General features: G+C 42.1%; 1 protein-coding gene across 8 annotated transcripts, besides 6 other annotated features; it reads left to right on the top strand.

The window, feature by feature from the left end:
* Positions 1141–1933: an enhancer, noted in NCBI's record as "NANOG-H3K27ac-H3K4me1 hESC enhancer chr1:35658451-35659243 (GRCh37/hg19 assembly coordinates)". NCBI's record gives its function as "activates a minimal SCP1, AML or CMV promoter by ChIP-STARR-seq in primed H9 embryonic stem cells {active_cell/tissue: H9 hESC(primed)}" and the evidence as "EXISTENCE:reporter gene assay evidence [ECO:0000049][PMID:30033119]".
* Positions 1141–1948: a biological region, named in NCBI's record as "NANOG-H3K27ac-H3K4me1 hESC enhancer GRCh37_chr1:35658451-35659243".
* Positions 1159–1208: an enhancer, noted in NCBI's record as "active region_724". NCBI's record gives its function as "activates an Ori minimal core promoter by ATAC-STARR-seq in GM12878 lymphoblastoid cells {active_cell/tissue: GM12878}" and the evidence as "EXISTENCE:reporter gene assay evidence [ECO:0000049][PMID:35858748]".
* Positions 1619–1948: an enhancer, noted in NCBI's record as "active region_723". NCBI's record gives its function as "activates an Ori minimal core promoter by ATAC-STARR-seq in GM12878 lymphoblastoid cells {active_cell/tissue: GM12878}" and the evidence as "EXISTENCE:reporter gene assay evidence [ECO:0000049][PMID:35858748]".
* On the top strand, positions 1638–18403 carry SFPQ (splicing factor proline and glutamine rich). Of its 8 annotated transcripts, XM_005271112.6 has the most exons (13): positions 1638–2561; positions 3254–3442; positions 3788–4089; positions 4190–4285; positions 5401–5597; positions 5696–5780; positions 6693–6810; positions 7532–7580; positions 7661–7782; positions 10190–13648; positions 16747–16794; positions 17384–17464; positions 18309–18403. In XM_005271112.6, exons 1-10 carry the CDS (start codon positions 1734–1736, stop codon positions 10325–10327), a joined length of 2124 nt encoding a protein of 707 aa, XP_005271169.1. In that variant the 5' UTR covers positions 1638–1733; the 3' UTR covers positions 10328–13648; positions 16747–16794; positions 17384–17464; positions 18309–18403. The 8 variants fall into 8 exon arrangements, 6 of the variants coding, with proteins under 6 accessions (XP_005271169.1, XP_005271172.1, XP_016857543.1 ...); NR_136702.2 differs by lacking the exon at positions 10190–13648; NR_136703.2 differs by lacking the exon at positions 10190–13648 and having other exon boundaries at positions 5401–5609; positions 18312–18403.
* Positions 2129–2378: a silencer, noted in NCBI's record as "silent region_637". NCBI's record gives its function as "represses an Ori minimal core promoter by ATAC-STARR-seq in GM12878 lymphoblastoid cells {active_cell/tissue: GM12878}" and the evidence as "EXISTENCE:reporter gene assay evidence [ECO:0000049][PMID:35858748]".
* Positions 2389–2798: a silencer, noted in NCBI's record as "silent region_636". NCBI's record gives its function as "represses an Ori minimal core promoter by ATAC-STARR-seq in GM12878 lymphoblastoid cells {active_cell/tissue: GM12878}" and the evidence as "EXISTENCE:reporter gene assay evidence [ECO:0000049][PMID:35858748]".
* Positions 18404–19571: the final 1168 nt, after the last annotated feature.

The raw sequence follows: 19571 nt of genomic DNA, 5'->3' as shown, positions 1-19571 counted from the left end.
GGATCACTTGAGGTCAGGAGTTTGAAACCAGCCTGGCCAACATGGCAAAACCCTGTCTCTACTAAAAATACAAAAATTGGCTGGGTATGATGGCTCGCGCCTGTGGTCCCAGCTACTCGGAAGGCTGAGGCAGGAGAATCACTTGAACCTGGGAGGCAGAGGTTGCAGTGAGCTGAGATAGTGCCACTGCTCTCCAGCCTGGGCAACAGAGCGAGACTCTGTGTCAAAAAAAATAAGACTCTGTGTCAAAGAAAATAAGAGAAAAATAATTGATGCATCTGACTGGTTAATACCCTATAGACATTGTAACATTGTAATTTTTTTTTTTTTTTTTTTTTGAGACAGTCTGGCACTTGTCGCCCAGGCTGGAGTGCAATAGCGCGATCTCGGCTCACTGCAACCTCCGCCTCCTGGGCTCAAGCAATTCTCCTGCCTCAGCCTCCCAGGTGGCTGGGATTATAGGTGTGCACTATCAAGCTCAGCAATTTTTTTTTTTTTTTTTTGAGACTGAGTCTTGCTCTGTCGCCCAGGCTGGAGTGCAGTGGCACAATCTCGGCTCACTGCAACCTCTGCCTCCCGGGTTCAAGCAATTCTCCTGCCTCAGCCTCCCGAGTAGCTGGGACTACAGACGTGCACCACCACGCCCAGCTAATTTTTGTATTTTTAGTAGAGACGGGGTTTCACCATATTGGCCAGGCTGGTATCGAATTCCTGACCTCGTGATCCACCCACCTCGGCGCCCAAAGTAAGTGCTGGGATTACAGGCGTCAGCCACCCCACCCAGCCAAATTTTTGTATTTTTTAGTAAAGACGGGGTTTCGCCATGTTGGCCAGGCTGGTCTAGAACTCCTGACCTCAGGTGATCTGCCCGACTCGGTGTCCCAAAGTGCTAGGATTACAGGCGTGAGCCACAGTGCCCAGCCTAACATTGTAATTTTTTAAAAGTACCTTAGTCTGTTCGTAAAGTGTTGAGTGGAATATTTACATTCCTCCTGTGATTGGTGTTTGTAAACGTGTATATATACACACATACACACAAGGGCTCTTTTTGAACAAAGCGCGCACCCACAGAAGCCTATTGAAAAGTTTATGCTGCTACAATAAATCTGTATTCCTATGAGGTTCCATAATGAAATCAGTTAAGACTGCGTATGTTTGAAATCGGTAAGATTTTACTTCTCTACTTTCATTGAGTTGGCACGAGGTAGGGTAGACAGCAGGCACTCAATTTCTGATTTTGAATCGGAAAACATCTGTTTTTCTGGGCAAGGATATCAGTAGATTGCTCCTAGGGACAATCAAGAAAGAAAAGAGACCTCCAACGCTTCTCTGCAGGAGCGGATAGAGCCCTGGTTATTTGCTCGCAAGTGAAAATTGCCCTGGCATACCCATTCAAATTTCTCCTAGCAAATCATAGTGGCCTACAGCCAACGCCTTCTTCGCTCACTGGCCAACTGGAAACTTCAGTCCCCCCATGCCTCCCGCCTCTCACCCAGGGGCCAATAGGAATGATCAGAGGTTCGCAACTTAGTGTCATCAAGCATAGTAATTGCAATTGGCTATTGGAGCTGTCGATCGTGGAGTAGGCGGGGCCGTGCCAGCTGGCCTATATAAGACGAGGACAAAGGCGGCGCGCCGCCTGTGTCATCCGCCATTTTGTGAGAAGCAAGGTGGCCTCCACGTTTCCTGAGCGTCTTCTTCGCTTTTGCCTCGACCGCCCCTTGACCACAGACATGTCTCGGGATCGGTTCCGGAGTCGTGGCGGTGGCGGTGGTGGCTTCCACAGGCGTGGAGGAGGCGGCGGCCGCGGCGGCCTCCACGACTTCCGTTCTCCGCCGCCCGGCATGGGCCTCAATCAGAATCGCGGCCCCATGGGTCCTGGCCCGGGCCAGAGCGGCCCTAAGCCTCCGATCCCGCCACCGCCTCCACACCAACAGCAGCAACAGCCACCACCGCAGCAGCCACCGCCGCAGCAGCCGCCACCGCATCAGCCGCCGCCGCATCCACAGCCGCATCAGCAGCAGCAGCCGCCGCCACCGCCGCAGGACTCTTCCAAGCCCGTCGTTGCTCAGGGACCCGGCCCCGCTCCCGGAGTAGGCAGCGCACCACCAGCCTCCAGCTCGGCCCCGCCCGCCACTCCACCAACCTCGGGGGCCCCGCCAGGGTCCGGGCCAGGCCCGACTCCGACCCCGCCGCCTGCAGTCACCTCGGCCCCTCCCGGGGCGCCGCCACCCACCCCGCCAAGCAGCGGGGTCCCTACCACACCTCCTCAGGCCGGAGGCCCGCCGCCTCCGCCCGCGGCAGTCCCGGGCCCGGGTCCAGGGCCTAAGCAGGGCCCAGGTCCGGGTGGTCCCAAAGGCGGCAAAATGCCTGGCGGGCCGAAGCCAGGTGGCGGCCCGGGCCTAAGTACGCCTGGCGGCCACCCCAAGCCGCCGCATCGAGGCGGCGGGGAGCCCCGCGGGGGCCGCCAGCACCACCCGCCCTACCACCAGCAGCATCACCAGGGGCCCCCGCCCGGCGGGCCCGGCGGCCGCAGCGAGGAGAAGATCTCGGACTCGGAGGTGAGTGTCTATGGGAGCGACGCGTCGGCTCCCCTAAGATGGCGGCGGCCCCCTCCTCGCCCCCGCCCCCGCGCTGGGCTTCCATTTTGTCGGCTGCCGGAAGGGGCGCTTGCGCGCGCCGCTGCGGGGGCGGGGCGGCCTGCGGGGCCGTCGGTCGGCGGGGGATTGGCCGCCGCCGGGCCTTGCTCTCCCGGCGGGCGGAAGGCTAGGGGAGGTTTCCTTTCGGAAGGAAGCGCGGGGCCGCGGTGGTCGGCCCTGCAGAAGGTATCCTGTCCCTGGGACTGGCGTAATGCAGAGCATGCGGCGTAGGTTTGGAGAGAACCGGGAAGTTCCATAAAAGCGCAGGCGCAGATCGTGTAGGTTACAGTGGCATTTGGATTTGTGTTATTTTCCTATTTTAATTTTCATACTATTTAGATTTTTTTAGGGACACTCAACATATGTGGGTGACAGTTGCTGATGGACGTCTACTCTTTGGGGAAGTGTGTCTATTCTCGAACATTCTGGATGATGGGGCTCCTTTTTCAATGTTAAGATAGTGCTCATGTTAGAAATCTCACATAGTAAAACCTTGATTTTGACCAAACGGAACAGAAAGGCAACTGATAGGTTTCAGATAAGCAAATACTATCTTGGGGATTTTCACTTGCAGAGGTCTCTGGTGTTTGAAAACTTCTTTCCTTTTTCATTAGGGGTTTAAAGCCAATTTGTCTCTCTTGAGGAGGCCTGGAGAGAAAACTTACACACAGCGATGTCGGTTGTTTGTTGGGAATCTACCTGCTGATATCACGGAGGATGAATTCAAAAGACTATTTGCTAAATATGGAGAACCAGGAGAAGTTTTTATCAACAAAGGCAAAGGATTCGGATTTATTAAGCTTGTGAGTGTAATTGTTTGATTTTACGTAGAATTAAAAAGGGTGGGGGATTTTTTTGTCACTACAAACGCTGAAGGCTTGGTTTTTAAACTGGGGAGGATAAATTGATCTTTTAGATTTTTCACCATTCTTACAGGAAAAATGCTTGCGGTATAATGCATAATTGTTGCTACCTAAGAGAAAAGAGGGGTGGGGTGGGTAAACTAAGTGGTGTTAGTGGGTGCTGCCTAAAGGTAATGGTCGAACTGAGCTGAAGGAAGAAAGGGAGTAGGAAGTAGGCCTATGACAATTTAAGAGTAGACATCATCCAATTTTGAGGTCATTAACATGAGTGTCTCTGATACACAGGAATCTAGAGCTTTGGCTGAAATTGCCAAAGCCGAACTGGATGATACACCCATGAGAGGTAGACAGCTTCGAGTTCGCTTTGCCACACATGCTGCTGCCCTTTCTGTTCGTAATCTTTCACCTTATGTTTCCAATGAACTGTTGGAAGAAGCCTTTAGCCAATTTGGTCCTATTGAAAGGGCTGTTGTAATAGTGGATGATCGTGGAAGATCTACAGGGAAAGGCATTGTTGAATTTGCTTCTAAGCCAGCAGCAAGAAAGGCATTTGAACGATGCAGTGAAGGTGTTTTCTTACTGACGACGTAAGTTGTCTTGTTTATTCTAATAATTTCTATCAACTTATATGAGAATGGTGGCAATAAAACTGGAACAAAGCTAAGATGGAACCATTTTTGTTATTAGAACTCCTCGTCCAGTCATTGTGGAACCACTTGAACAACTAGATGATGAAGATGGTCTTCCTGAAAAACTTGCCCAGAAGAATCCAATGTATCAAAAGTAAGATTGATTAAACTTTTTTGGCAGTTTTTAAATCAAGTGTAAAGGTTAAATTTATTTTAGTGATTTTCCAATTTTGCTTAAAATATGCAAAATTATTTGATGTGGATATGCTTATTAGTAAAAAATCTCAGGCTGAGAAAGATTTGAAGCTGTTATTCAGATAGCTGTTTGCTTCTAAGGTGGATACATTCACATGCAGTCCTGTTTTGTCCCTGCAATAATGGCATAAAGTCACGTGTGTGACTGAGTCTCTGTTGCCCAGGCCAGAGTGCAGTGGCATGACCTCAGCTCTCTGCAACCTCTGCCTCCCAGGTTCAAGCGATTCTCCTGCCTCAGCCTCCCAGGTAGCTGGGATTACAGGCATGTGCCACCATGCCTGGCTCGTTTTCTATTTTTAGTAGAGATGGGCTTTCACCATGTTGACTAGGCTGATCTCGAACTCCTGACCTCAGGTGAGTCGCCCACCTCGGCCTCTCAAAGTGCTGGGATACAGGCATGATGCACCGTGCCTGGCTGAAGTACGTTTTTTTTTGTTTTGTTTTTGAGCTGGAGTTTCGCTGTTGTTTCCCAGGCTGGAGTGCAGTGGTGTGATTTCAGCTCACTGCAATCTTTGCCTCCCGGGTTCAAGTGATTCTCCTGCCTCAGGGTTCCAGAATAGCTGGGATTACAGGTGCCTGCCACCATGCCCAGCTAATTTTTTGTATATTTAGTGGAGACGGGGTTTCATCATGTTGGCCAGATGGGTCTTAAACTCATGACCTCAGGTGATCCACCTGCCTTGGCCTCTCAAAGTGCAGGGATTACAGGGGTGAGCCACCGCGTGTGGCCTACAGTACATTTTTATGGGTGGAAAAAATAAGCCTCGGTAAGGAATTTGGCTAGAGGAAAACAATTAGAAAACGAGGAAGGTAGGATTTATCTCCAGTGCCTGCATTCTTTTACTGAGTGTTCTGAGTATTTTTGCTGTGAAGATATTTATAGATGAATCAGGAAAATTTTTGCCTTTTGTACTCTTTACAAGAAATAGAACAGGAAAAAGATCAGTACTAGGGCAAGTATTTTCTGGTATGCATTCACAAATCGGTTCATGTTAAAATTTTGTGTATTGTTAGGGAGAGAGAAACCCCTCCTCGTTTTGCCCAGCATGGCACGTTTGAGTACGAATATTCTCAGCGATGGAAGTCTTTGGATGAAATGGAAAAACAGCAAAGGGAACAAGTTGAAAAAAACATGAAAGATGCAAAAGACAAATTGGAAAGTGAAATGGAAGATGCCTATCATGAACATCAGGCAAATCTTTTGCGCCAAGGTAAAAAGACCTGTGCGTGAACATCATTGCTAAGGTCAATTGTTTTTCACCTTATTAGAACCTTGTTAATGTGAATCCAAATATTTTCCAATGTTCAGATCTGATGAGACGACAGGAAGAATTAAGACGCATGGAAGAACTTCACAATCAAGAAATGCAGAAACGTAAAGAAATGCAATTGAGGTAAAATTGTGTTTAAGGTTTAAGCCTTCATTTATTTTTTTCTTTGAAACGTATCATTCTGTTGCCCGGGCTGGAGTGCAGTGGTGCAGTCTCAGCTCACCACAACCTCCGCTTCCTGGGTTCAAGCGATTCTCTTGCCTCAGCCTCCCGATCAGCTGGGATTACAGGCATGCGCCACGACACCTGGCTAATTCTTCCTGTATTTGTAGTAGATAACGGGGTTTCGCCATGTTGGCCAGGCTGGCCTTGAACTCCTGAGCTCAAGTGATCCACCTGTCTCTGCCTCCCAAAGTGCTAGGATTACAGGCATGAGCCGCCACGCTTGGCCATTTTTTTTCTTCCTTTTTTGAGATGGGCCCAGGCTGAAGTGCAGTGGCATGATCATAGCTCACTGCAGTCTCAAACTCCTCAGCTCTAGCAGTCCTCCTGAGTAGCTGGGACTAGAGGCACAGGCCACCACCCCCAGCTAATTTTTTAATTTTTTTTGTATTTGTGGAGATGGAGTCTTCCTATATTGCCTAGGCTGGTGTCAAACTCCTGGCCTCCTAAAGTACTGAGATTACAGGCATGAACTACCAACCCTGGCCTTAATCCTTGACTTATGCACTAACATTTATATTCTGACATTTAGGGAAAAGATGTACTTAGTTTTTCAGGTCAGTCAGGCAAAATACAAAGGTTAAATATGTCAGTGTTGGTTTAACACTTAAAATCGAATACAGTGTAAGATTATCCTTAATAAAGCCTACATTATTTGCCAGAATGTCTTTAGTACTATGCCCCTAGGCTCACTCTAAGCCTTTGTGTTTTTTAGTGCTAACCTAGTTCTTAGGTCAACTGCTAGGTTTCTTCACATTGAATTCTAAAAGATGTGGATAACACTTCAGTTATGTACCTGATGGGTATTTCTAGGCAAGAGGAGGAACGACGTAGAAGAGAGGAAGAGATGATGATTCGTCAACGTGAGATGGAAGAACAAATGAGGCGCCAAAGAGAGGAAAGTTACAGCCGAATGGGCTACATGGATCCAGTAAGTCAGCCTTTACTGCCTTCCAATTGGAGTTGTCTATAGAACTTGCAGGTACCTAGAAGGAATTACAGGAAATTTTAATATCAAATTACAGTTATTTTCTGCTTTTTTTCTAACAAAGTATATTATGTTTGATTTCCTTGTATGGGTCAGAGGATTTAATTGAATAGGAAGTTTTTTTGTGTTTTGTTTCTTGGTTTTTTTGTTTTGTTTTGTTTTTTTGTTTGTTTGGTTTTTTTTTTGGAGAGAGTTTTGCTCTTGTCACCCAGGCTGGAGTGCAGTGGCTTGATCTTGGCTCACTGCAGCATCTGCCTTCTGGGTTCAAGTGATTCTCCTGCCTCAGCCTCTTGAGTAGGTGGGATTACAAGTGCCTGCCATCAGGCTCGGCTAATTTTTGTATTTTTAGTAGAAATGGCGTTTCGCCTTGTTGGCCAGGCTGGTCTTGAACTCCTGACCTCAGGTGATCTGCCTGCCTCGGCCTTCCAAAGTGCTGTGATTACAGGCGTGAGCCACTGCTCCCGGCCTTGAATAGGAAGTTTTGTAGGTCTTTGGATAATTGAGTCTAACTTAGTTTTCAGAATATTGATTTCAAAAATAATTCACATGATGAACTTTTGAACTTTACCATGTTTTTTATTTAACTCTTGAAAATTTCTCAGTTCTTAAGAATGCTTGCTGTGGGTATAGTGCAGGTATATTGAAAGGAATTTTTTTCTTGCAGCGGGAAAGAGACATGCGAATGGGTGGCGGAGGAGCAATGAACATGGGAGGTAAGTGTGAAATTTAAATTAATGATATAAGTAGAGAGTAGTATCCTGGTGGAGTTGTAACCACTATTTTTGTTTTCTAGATCCCTATGGTTCAGGAGGCCAGAAATTTCCACCTCTAGGAGGTGGTGGTGGCATAGGTTATGAAGCTAATCCTGGCGTTCCACCAGCAACCATGAGTGGTTCCATGATGGGAAGTGACATGGTAATGTATCCTGTGGGACGTAGTACCAAGGAAATTCTCATTTTCACAACTTAGGTGTGTTTGTTTTGTTTTGTTTTGTTTTTTTAAGTAGGTGACTGGACCTCTTTTAGTTTCCCCTACCAATTTCATACATAAATATGTAATATTGAGGAATACTTTGGCAACATAGAAGAACTCGGTGTGTGGTAACCTAAACAGATAACGGTTGCCAACAAGGAGTCAATGCTGTTAGTATTATGTGGAATTACCTTTGGCAATAAGTAGATTTAGGTGCTTTTGAACTCTAGTGCATGGCAAATCCAAATTCTAGATGCTAGATAATGTATCTGATTATTCTACATCCAAGTGAGAATAATCAAATGGCAAACTCATTCTTTAAGCTGGTATTTGCCATAAGTAGGAATCAGACTTGTAGTTTGAAGCTTTAGGCACGTTTTAGTGATGTGTAGGACTTTGACCTATATTTGGTGTGGCTTCTATCCTATGAAAAGGGAATTGAGTGTTTTGACTCGTCGTTTCCCACCTGTTGGGCCTGTCTGTAGGTATACCTTCTAAAATCAACTGACATCTCCATTTTGCTACAGAGTAGCAAAAATCAACAATTTTTAAGCATACTAATGGTGTGCATTTGATCTGAACCTTCTTGATGCTATCATGTTTCAGCTGTGAATATAGCCTGTCAGATGCTTAGAACAATCAGTTGAACTGGTATGAGTGGCTGCATTAGGGCTTTACAAATCGTTAGGACTGAATTTTGGTGGGTTTAGAGAGTGCATTTTTATAGCTGAGTTGAATGTGATGAGTTCACTACAGGCTTTTGGCAAAGGAGGGGAGCTGCAGTGAGTAGCTCATAAGATTCATTTTATAAATAGAAACATAAGGATTTTGTATAAGGCCTCACCTGTTTATAATCTACCTAAGACTTTTTGGGAATTAAAGTTAGAATTATAAATGGCTGGTTGGGTAAAATGTAATACTATGGGCTTTCTTTAGATTTTTCAGAGTATGTGGGTAACATTTTGGTTTATATTCTTCCTAAAGACAGATTGTTAGGTAATGTGTAAAATCTAATTTGACCTTATGTTCTCACAATTAAAGGTTTATATTCTAGATAACAGGTAGCTGATAGCTCCTGGGTTCTCAGCTGGTGTAATTAACATAATTATGAAAGCCCCAACTTTTTCTTTTTTTTAAGTTCTTAGAGGTAGAACACAGAACAATGAGCCAAAAACCCTGTAATTTATAAGATTTTGAAAAACAAAGGATAAAAGTTTAGTCATGTTGAGTAGCTCAATAGTATTTTGTTTAAAAGAATGTTGAAATTGTGTATAGGAACAGTTAAACCCTGATGCCCTTTTAGTTTTTTATTTGGAGTAATACTCTTAGTAACTGGTCTATTATAAATGGAATGAGAAAAAGTGTAGGCTGCTGTGTTTGCATACCTGAGGGGTCTGCTATTTAGGCACATATGTTTCTATTGAAAACTTCTATCTCCAGAATTACCTAAAACTAGATGGGAATAGTGAAGTCACTCACTGCTTTATTGCAGTTACTTTAGCTTCGTGTTTCACTGTTCGGGAAGTGTCTAAAACATGGAATTACAGCAAAGTGTCTGCACTTTTCAAAGACCTAAGGGAAAAGATGGACTGATGAAGGTGGGTGGGGTTTGTTCATTTAGTTTGCAACAATATAGAATAGTACTGAGAACGTAATTGTCTCTGGTTATATAGTGATGGCTCGGAAGGTAGTGTGCCTGTGAGAATTTGGCAACATAAGTTTTTTTGATCAAGTTACTGTGCCGGTTAAGTGACTAAATCTATAGTCTTATGCTTTTTCTTTTTGTAGTCTGGTAGCATTTTATTAAAACTTTCAACCTTTTAAGATTTCTGCAACTTAGCAGATGTGTCTTAAGATCTTGAAAAGCACAAGGTTTCTTAAGCAGCACATGCCACTAACTGGTGAGTAGGTCTTTGTCACTTCATTGAGTGAATTGAATCTCTGGTTGGGCTTGTTAGGCTTACTTGGAAATTAAATTTCCGTTCAGACGTTGAAAGTGAGAGTTTGCAAGTTTTTCAGTGGGTTAATCTGATGTGAAATTTCTTAGAACTCATTTTGGAATGGATTTTCACATCTGCACTAATTCTTAAATTTTTTAGCACTACAGGGAAGATCTGTTCTTTGAAACAGGTGTATGAGAATGGCTCAAGTGGGAACATACCACAAGGCATGTATTACCGTAAACTAATTTTCAAATTACCCTTTTTTCCTTTCTATGTTCCCGGTACCTGTGGATCGACTCATTGGTGATTGTATCGACGAACGTTGACTACGGAACCTTCTAAAATATTTACTTAACACACATGGACATCAACTACTTATAATGAACTGTTAATTACTGTTCCAATAGCGTACTGAGCGCTTTGGGCAGGGAGGTGCGGGGCCTGTGGGTGGACAGGGTCCTAGAGGAATGGGGCCTGGAACTCCAGCAGGATATGGTAGAGGGAGAGAAGAGTACGAAGGCCCAAACAAAAAACCCCGATTTTAGATGTGATATTTAGGCTTTCATTCCAGTTTGTTTTGTTTTTTTGTTTAGATACCAATCTTTTAAATTCTTGCATTTTAGTAAGAAAGCTATCTTTTTATGGATGTTAGCAGTTTATTGACCTAATATTTGTAAATGGTCTGTTTGGGCAGGTAAAATTATGTAATGCAGTGTTTGGAACAGGAGAATTTTTTTTTCCTTTTTATTTCTTTATTTTTTCTTTTTTACTGTATAATGTCCCTCAAGTTTATGGCAGTGTACCTTGTGCCACTGAATTTCCAAAGTGTACCAATTTTTTTTTTTTTACTGTGCTTCAAATAAATAGAAAAATAGTTATAATATTGATCTTCAACTTTGCCATTCATGCTTCTATGCATATTAGGCTACGTATTCCACATTGAAAGCATGAGAGTGTCTAGGCCTTTGAATGGCATATGCCATTTCTGGGAAATGCATCTGGAGGCTAAGTATTGCTTTCTACAAATAATTGCCCCCTTTGTTTTAAAAAGAAGAAATGCATATTGAAGTAGTTTGATGATTTGTTTGGCATATAGGAAGCACGCTGGTGCTAAGTATTTTTTAAATGGTTATGTAAGCAAAGCTGAACTGTAAATCTTCAGGAATATGTATTAAGATTGTGGAATGGGTGTAAGACAATTGGTAGGGGGTGAAAGTGGGTTTGATTAAATGGATCTTTTATGGCCCTATGATCTATCCTTTACTTGAAAGCTTTTGAAAAGTGGAAAGGTCATTTTGTTGCATTTCCCCATTTCTTGTTTTTAAAAGACCAACAAATCTCAAGCCCTATAAATGGCTTGTATTGAACTTTTACATTTGAATTAAAGATGTTAAACATGAAGTCTTTTCATGTATTCAAGTGATTTATAAAGATGGGGTGTAGTCTAAAAAACAAAACTTGAAAGTAAGAAGGTTTAGTAACTGGGCCGGGCGCGGTGGCTCACGCCTGTAATCCCAGCACTTTGGGAGGCTGAGGTGGGCAAATCATGAGATCAGGAGTTCAAGACCAGCCTGGCCAACATGGTGAAACCCCGTCTCTACTAAAAATACAAAAAATTAGCTGGGCGTGGTGGCAGGCGCCTGTAATCCCAGCTACTCGGGAGGCTGAGCCAGGAGAATTGCTTGAACCTGGAGATGGAGGTTGCAGTGAGCTGAGACTGCCACTGCACTCCAGCCTGGACAACAGAGCGAGACTCTGTCTCAAAAAAAAAAAAAGGTTTAGTACTGAAGTAGGTTTAGTTATATATACATTTGTACTCTGTAACTTTTACATCTCCTTGTGCTACTTCTGTTGGGCAAAATCTATAGGACTATAAAAATCTATTGGTTCTCTTCTAAGAGCTAGTGGTGATTGTTAACAAATAGGGTTGCAGATAATCATTCTTATTGTAAATTTAACTTGTTTTCACATAGTTTCGTTTTCATGTAGCACTAAATCTGGAGAAAGTTGCTCATGCTACACAGTACAAATATCCCTTCCTCCCACCATAAAGGCTTGGAATGTTTCCATGGTGTTGTCAGTTAATTGTCAACTTCATTGAACCCCCTTCCATTAGAACAAGAGACTTTGACTATTAAAGTAGATTGTTTATTGTTGCCTGTTAGTATAATGGGAGCCTGATTTCCCAGTGTAAATATGTTAGAGGAACAGCTTCCTAACAGTAGGTAAAGTAATTGAATGGTTTGGCTTTGTTCTGAGTTACGTTCCATTCAAATCTGTACATTGTAGAATTCTTACTATGGAATGTGTCTTCCTCCTTTTCACCTCTTTTCTTGGTGCTAATTGGCAAAAGAAAAATTCTAAGTCAAACCTTTATTAACATGCTGAAGTTTAGTATTGTGCCTGTGTACAAAAGGAGACCTATTGTTGGAACAATCTGAGCACTTTCTGCATAGGAAACAGGATAATGCTGAAAGTAAACACTAGTGTATAAAAGCATCTCACCAAATACTGGTTGTATGACTGACAGGTACATGGTGTGCTAAGGGAGAGAATCTCATTAGAAAGTAATGCTCATTATATCATTCACCAGCACACTCGGAAATATGAGTAGTTTTACCATGATTATATCAGTGAGGAAGTTTTGTCCCCAAACAGGTTATTAATTGGTGATACATAAGAGATTTTCTGTACGGAAACAAGGGTCTTGATTAGAAAGGAATCCATTACAGTTTGGTTGAATTATATAGTAGGGACTCTACTAAAGACAAGAAAATAAGGGGTGTTCCATGGGACACCCACAGAGGGTGAACTTTGAATGTGTGTGGGTGGGGGCTGGTCGGGAAATGGGAAAATCTGCCTATAAAATTAATGTTTCAGTTTATTTTTCAGATTACATGCCTTTCTTTATAAGGGATGCTGGCACAGACCCCCTAAAATAAGCTTTTGGTAGTACTGTACCTTTGAAGAGTGGTGAAGGATGCTAATGGATAATCTCCTGAAAGTTGTGGCTTTTGATACCCTTACTGTGGACTGTAGAGTTGCTAAACGTTGTTTAGCAAATAATGTTGCTTAGTTTCAAATGACATTTGACTTTCATCACTAAAACAGCAATGTACTCAGGGTTGTAAGCTTACTCAAATAGACTTTCAATAAGTCTTCAATGTATATATGATAGTTTTTAGCCTAATGTGAATTTAAATAATCTTAATAGTTTCCTAAAAGTCGATCTGAAACTTGGGGTGGGAAAGGGGAGGTAGCAATTTTTGAAGTATTTTAGCCATTTTTTTCATTTAAAGAAACCACTTGTCCCCATTTCCTCTTCTCCACTTTCTCATAATTTTGTTTTAAGAGGAACACTGGTTGTTTTTTATACTTCTCCTAATCTTTAAAAACTGCATATTGTTAAGACCCCAGTGTATTTAATAGGTATTTTATAAGCATAGCCCATTGGCTCATGTTAGTGAAACCATAATCCTCTTTGCTTAGAACATTAAACTCATAAGAAGTACTACAAACCCCACCACTCTTTATAGATGTATTGTACCACTAATATAAACAGCTAAAAAATGGGGAAATTGTAATGTTACGCCTGTGCAATTTTTAAGTGGCATATTATGGCAGATTAAAATTTAGATACTTGGCTTTTCTTGGGCAAGCCACTAAGTTGTGGCGGAATGTTTTCTGGTGTTCTTGGACTGCAATTATGCACTATTAAAGTAGTGGCCTGCTACATAACTGCATTTAGCCAGCATTTCTGCAGTGCGTAACTGTGAGGAACGTAGTACCGCAAATGGCAATGGACATTAGGACCCGGATGTAGTATTCCTGCTTGCTCCAAGATTCTCATTGCCGACTGCATACAGGTAGGTAACAAGCAATATAATCTAACTTGGTGACTTGTATGTACTTTTATTCCGTGGGCATTCTGGCATCACATTTCTGACAATGAAATTACAGTGCAGCACCTAACACTTGTATGGTAAAGCTAGCTTACATCAAAACTGTGTGGGTGTGGGGTTAGAGCTGTAATTTGTCAGGCAGAATTCAGTGCTGTTGCAGTTCTCAGATAAAAAGTGCAAACTTGATTCTTTGGTATATCTGACTCAGTTGTGTGGTTTCCTTTAGTTGCATTGTAACTGAAGATAACATGGAACACATCAGTGGTGTGGGGGAGAGGGAACTAAACTATACTTGGGAACTAGGGTGCTTTTAGCACCTTGACATGGACCGTATAGCATGTGATAATTAGTCTCTATTGTAGCAAACTGACCTGCCCATAGATCGGCAATATCAGTAATTTCATTATGCAATCTTGGTAATTCTACAAGTTGAGTTGAACTAAAAGTACAGGTTTTTTTGTAATGCGATTTAAAATTTTTAAAAACATGGGCTTCATGAAAACACCATTGTTACTAACTTGGGCTTAGATGGGAATCTAATGTGAATAGTTCAAGTTATGGGACTTGTCTAAATGTGTCTATACTCTAAACCTGGGGGAAGGTGGTGTGGAACATTGACTTGACTACAGTCGAATACATGTTGGGAATCATTCCCAATCATAAGACATCGTCGTTTCTGTAGGATGACTGCATATGTTCAGAGTAGCTTTTTGAATTTGGTTCCCTTAGCTTTAGGGATGTGATGTTATAGTCCAAAATGTTTACAAGAAAACCTAAGTCTTCAAAAGCACAACTTTTGTTGCTTAGGACTTTGCATCAACTGTTGTTCCAGACCTCACTTCAACTTCTTGGTCTCTGAACTGGTTTTAGCTAGCATGCATGAGAGACAGTTTTCATGTATAATGTTTCTGCTCTGTAACTGGAAAGTGGTTTACTTTGCATAAATGCTGATGAAAACTTCATGACTATGAGACTTTTCTTCTGTGTATCAAGAAAAAGCTTGCTCGTTGGCAAGCAATTCACAAGGTGGGGACAGACTTGTACTTTAACATGTAGTCCATTCAAGCAAACAACTTTGGACTCTACTGATAGATGAAAGAGCAAATGATGACTAGTTTAGCCTCTGCATATCAACAATATAATGCAGATCAAGTATAATGCTCAATATTAGTGACATGAGTATCACTAAATTACATAGAACCCTGATGGGGTTTCCTGTGTCGTAATCCATTAAATCGGTGGCCAGTGCTTGCTGCCGTGGTTTAGTGATTGGGTGTTAGAAATAAAAACTCAGGTCTATTTCTTACCAGTCAGTAACAATTTTTAGAGAATGTACTTGGTATATAATATATGGACTTCAGGAACTTTATTGGGGTGGGGGGTTAATTTTGCCTTACCCTGTTCACTTTCAGATGATTAGGCTTTTGCACTTTAGAATGAGAAACTTGTGACGTTAGTGTGTTCTTACTAGCTTTAATTTGTATGTAGCAATGAATTGTGAATCTTAGTGCAGTGGGTTTTTTTAAAAAACTCAAAAAGCTGGGAATTAAGTGGTTTCAGTAATAATGCTATACCGAGGTGCTTGCATTGTATTTCATAATTTTGTTACAAACCAAAATTATTTTTAATGAGAACAGTCTTGGGTTCAGAGGTGTGATGCCAGAATGTATTTTCGTACTGTTAGGCCCTTGGAACAGATACCGGTGCTTTCTGAAAGATGAAAGAAATGCAATGGGTGCTCTTCATGCAAGGTTGCAAACCTACCAAGAATGCATAATAGTCTCACTTTTCCCCAATAAAGAGATGCGTGTGACTAGTTTTGGACTTTTAACCTTAATGGGGGTTGCATGTCTCCTATTGTTAATCATTGTCAGCTGCAGTGACATGATCCACAGTCCTGCATTTACTGCCTTTCACTTAATGATTTTGGACAGGTTTTAGAGAGCCAGGATGTTGGTCTGGGCCTTTATTTGGTTTTGGCTTTAGCTGATAATGTTTTAGTGATGTCAGCTAGTGCAGTTCTCAAATGGCTGCCTATTAGGGAAAGAATTCAGAGGATTTGACTGCTCCTAATCATCTGTCATTGCTGCTAGATAATGATTGGCAATTTTTAAGACTCAACTGGAAATCTCAACAGTTGCTGGTAAACCATTAACCATAAAAACGTTGCTTTTGAACACCAGTGCTGAAAAAAATATTTTTTTTTTTTTTTTTGAGAGTGAAAAGGGCTTGGACTTAAGATAGGACAATGTGGAGAATGGGGGGAAGAATGCAAAACGATATAGTATCCCTTATGGATGGTACATGTGCAACAGGGAACTCTTACTTCATATACCCTTTGCAGTAATCATTCAGGGAGGAAGAAAAACCTGGAACTTGAATGAAGGCTGATCTTTGTTTTGTGCACTGTGGCCCTGCCAGGCATATAGTGAAGGTGAATGTCTTCTCCCTCAGAAAAAAATTGGTTCCTTGCTGTCCCAGTAAGGCATAGCTTTTCCAGCCCTAACTTTAAAACTCAGTGAGGACTTAGATGGGAAAGAATGAGGTAAATACAAAGGATTGCAGGACAACAACTACAGCGTTGTGTACTGTGGGAAGGGGAGTTGGGCACTCTTGGAGGACTCCTGCTGAAGGTGGTCAGCCTGCCTGACAATGGAAGACATACTTGAATGGGGAGCAGGGTATGTGCTTTCATATGAAAAAAGAGCTGATGTTAAAACTCATTTGGTGAGGTCAACGTTGTCACATACCTTCACATAAGGGATAGTATATTTTGGGTTGCAGTCAAACTTGTGCTCAGACTGGTGAAACTGAGAGTCAGGCTTTTACATTTTAAAGAAAATACAGTTTTCATTCTAATTCAGGTGTCTACTTATTTTATGTAAGAATAATTTTAGATTTCCCCCCCACCATGAAGTTTCTTCCTATTTTTTTATGCTGTAACTTACCCCCAATCTTTATCTCTGGATTTTTACTCTTTAAATTTTGAAGTTGACTAGCATTTTCAAACCTTTATTTTATACCCTTGTCTTTTATATTAACTTTTTCTTATTATTCTTTAGGTAAGAATGATTGATGTTGGCTGATATTGGAGTGCTCATTCACATGAAGTAAGTTTCCTTTAGAAATCTTAACCCCTACAGGCTTTTGAGTTTGATTTAAATAATTTCATTTAGATATGTGGAGTGAAACTTCGATATTTGAGATGTTTACCGTTTCTAAGATAATATCCCTTTATTTTTGTTTGGAAATTAGGGATGTATGTGAGAAAGCAAGTGAGAGGCATTATAAAAATGTCAAACAATAGAATTTTTAAAAAGTGGATGGTTATATAACGGTCATAGAAGAACAGAAAAGAAAACTTGACTTAAGGGGAATAGGCCATATTGTCAATATTCAATTCAATTTTAGACTCCATCTAAAACTCCATGATTCTTTTTTTACTTAAGAAAATGTAGGAGAAGGTCAGGCATGGTGGCTTTACACCTATATTCCTAGCACTTTGGGAGGCAGAAGTGGGAGGATTGCTTGAGCCCAGCCTGGGCAAAATAGTGAGACCATGTCTCTACAGAAAAAAATATAGCCAGGTGTGGTGGTGTGTGCCTGTGGTCCCAGCTCCCTTGGAGGCTGAGGTGGGAGGGATCGCTTGATCCTGGGAGGTTGAGGCTGCAGTGAGCAAGTTAACATTTTTTGTTACAGGTGGATAGATACTTCTCAAGACATCACACAGCGTGAGTCAATCAAGGAGGGAAGCCACAAGCAGACTGACAACGTTTCTAGGTAAGTTAAATGATTCTTAGTCTGTTAAACTGTCTTCAGAAAGGCCCTTGGGTGGTACAAAAATAACAATACTAATGTGGGAACCATTAATTTTTTATTTTTTGAGATGGAGTTTCGCTCCTTTTGCCCAGGCTGTAGTGCACTGGCATGATTTTGACTCACTGCAACCTCCACCTCCTGGGTTCAAGCGATTCTCCTGCCTCAGCCTTCCAAGTAGCTGGGATTACAGGCATGTTCTGCCACGCCCGGCTCATTTTGTATTTTTAGTAGAGACAGGGTTTGACCATGTTGGTCAGGCTGGTCTCAAACTCCTGACCTCAGGTGATCTGTCCACCTTGGCCTCCCAAAGTGCTGGGATTACAGGCTTGAGCCACTCCGCCCTGCCTGTTAATTACAATTAATGCCATGTTCTTTCATTCATTAAAAGATTTTTTTTTTTTTTTTTGAGACGGAGTCTTGCTCTGTCGCCCAGGCTGGAGCAGTGGTGCACAGTCTTGGCTCACCGCAAGCTCCGCCTCCTGGGTTCACGCCATTCTCCTGCCTCAGCCTCCCGAGTAGCTGGGACTGCAGGCGCCCGCCACACACGCCTGGCTAATTTTTTTTTGTATTTTTTAGTAGAGACAGAGTTTCACCATGTTAGCCAGGGTGGTCTTGATCTCCTGACCCTGTGATCCGCCCTCCTTGGCCTCCCAAAGTGCTGGGATTGCAGGCGTGAGCCACTGCGCCAGGCCGATTAATAAGATTTCTTTGGTATTAGTTCACTTGACAGTTATATAATGTTATGTTTGAGAATTTGGTAACTCTGATTCTTGTATCCTTTGGAGTAATCATACCCTTTAATTAGCAGGATCAGGTGAGCTGTGTCCAGAAAACCAACGAGAAGGAGTGGAAGGAGGAATGAACGTTTCATTCTCGTTAATAAAGGCATTATCCTAATTATCCTTTGGTTTTGTTTTTGTTTTTTTAGTACTCGTTTATTTTCTAGAATTTACCTGACTTCAACGTATTCAAAGTGACATTAAAAAAAAAAAAAGATGGTCTGTATTACAGACACAGAACCAGATTAAGTATAATTCAGGATCCTATTGTGACTTGGCAGTGCTGCTTTCAGTCTCAGTTACTGATCAATTTTTATGGTCCATTTTAGATATTTGCCTTCACTGTAATTTTTATTTCTAAAATTAGCATGTTATTTAGCAATTACTACCTACATCTTGATTGGATTTCAGACATAGCATTTTGTATTTCCAACTTCTGTATGTACGAATTATAAGATGATGTTTATGAGATAGTCACACATCGCTTCACAAGTAAGTATAGTCAAATAACAATATAGTAATATCCCCTTATCTGCAACCATGGTTAACCACAATCTCAGAGTTATTAATTTTTAAATTGTGTGCTTTTCTGAGAGGCATCCTGTCCTTCCCACCTTGGGCAGAATACTGATGGGAATGTTGGATACAGCATATACATGCTGTATATGCTATTTGCCATCCAAAAAGGCCATGTAGGCTAGGCTAGGCTTTGGTACCATTTGTGATTTTGGGCATCCACTGTGGGGGGGTCTTGGAATGTTATCTCCTCACAGACAAGGGAGGACTCTACTGTGTTTTTGATTGGTCTGAGTAATAACGAAGGGCTGTCAATTTCTCAAAGTCAAATAAAATTTGATAATGGAGTGTGAAATGGGTAATTTTTGAGAATATCTAAATGTAAGGAAAAATCTGGAACTGACTTAAAAGCTGTTAGTAAAAATTGTACACAAATTATCTGTCCCCTTCACTCTTGGAGCCCTTATACTAAAACTTGCCAAGCTGTTAGTCTCGCACACTAATTATTATTATTACTATTTTTTGAGACTGAGTCTCTGTTGCCCAGACTGGAGCGTGGTGGCACCATCTCAAAACGTTCAATGCCACCTAGGTTTCACCACGTTGGCCAGGCTGGTTTCAAACTCCTGACCTCAGGTGAACTGCCCACCTCGGCCTCCCAAAAGTGCTGGGATTACAGGTGTGAGCCACCACGCCCGGCCTCACACAAACATTCCAGTTTTACAGTATGTTCTGCCAAAGCAAGCGCTCACTAAAGCATTGGTTCAGGACGA

The sequence above is a fragment of the Homo sapiens genome, chromosome 1 (assembly GCF_000001405.40).
Source record: "Homo sapiens chromosome 1, GRCh38.p14 Primary Assembly".
In the NCBI taxonomy this organism is placed as follows: domain Eukaryota; kingdom Metazoa; phylum Chordata; class Mammalia; order Primates; family Hominidae; genus Homo; species Homo sapiens.
Note: the sequence above shows the minus strand (reverse complement) of the source record. Positions and strands in the feature narration are given on the sequence as shown.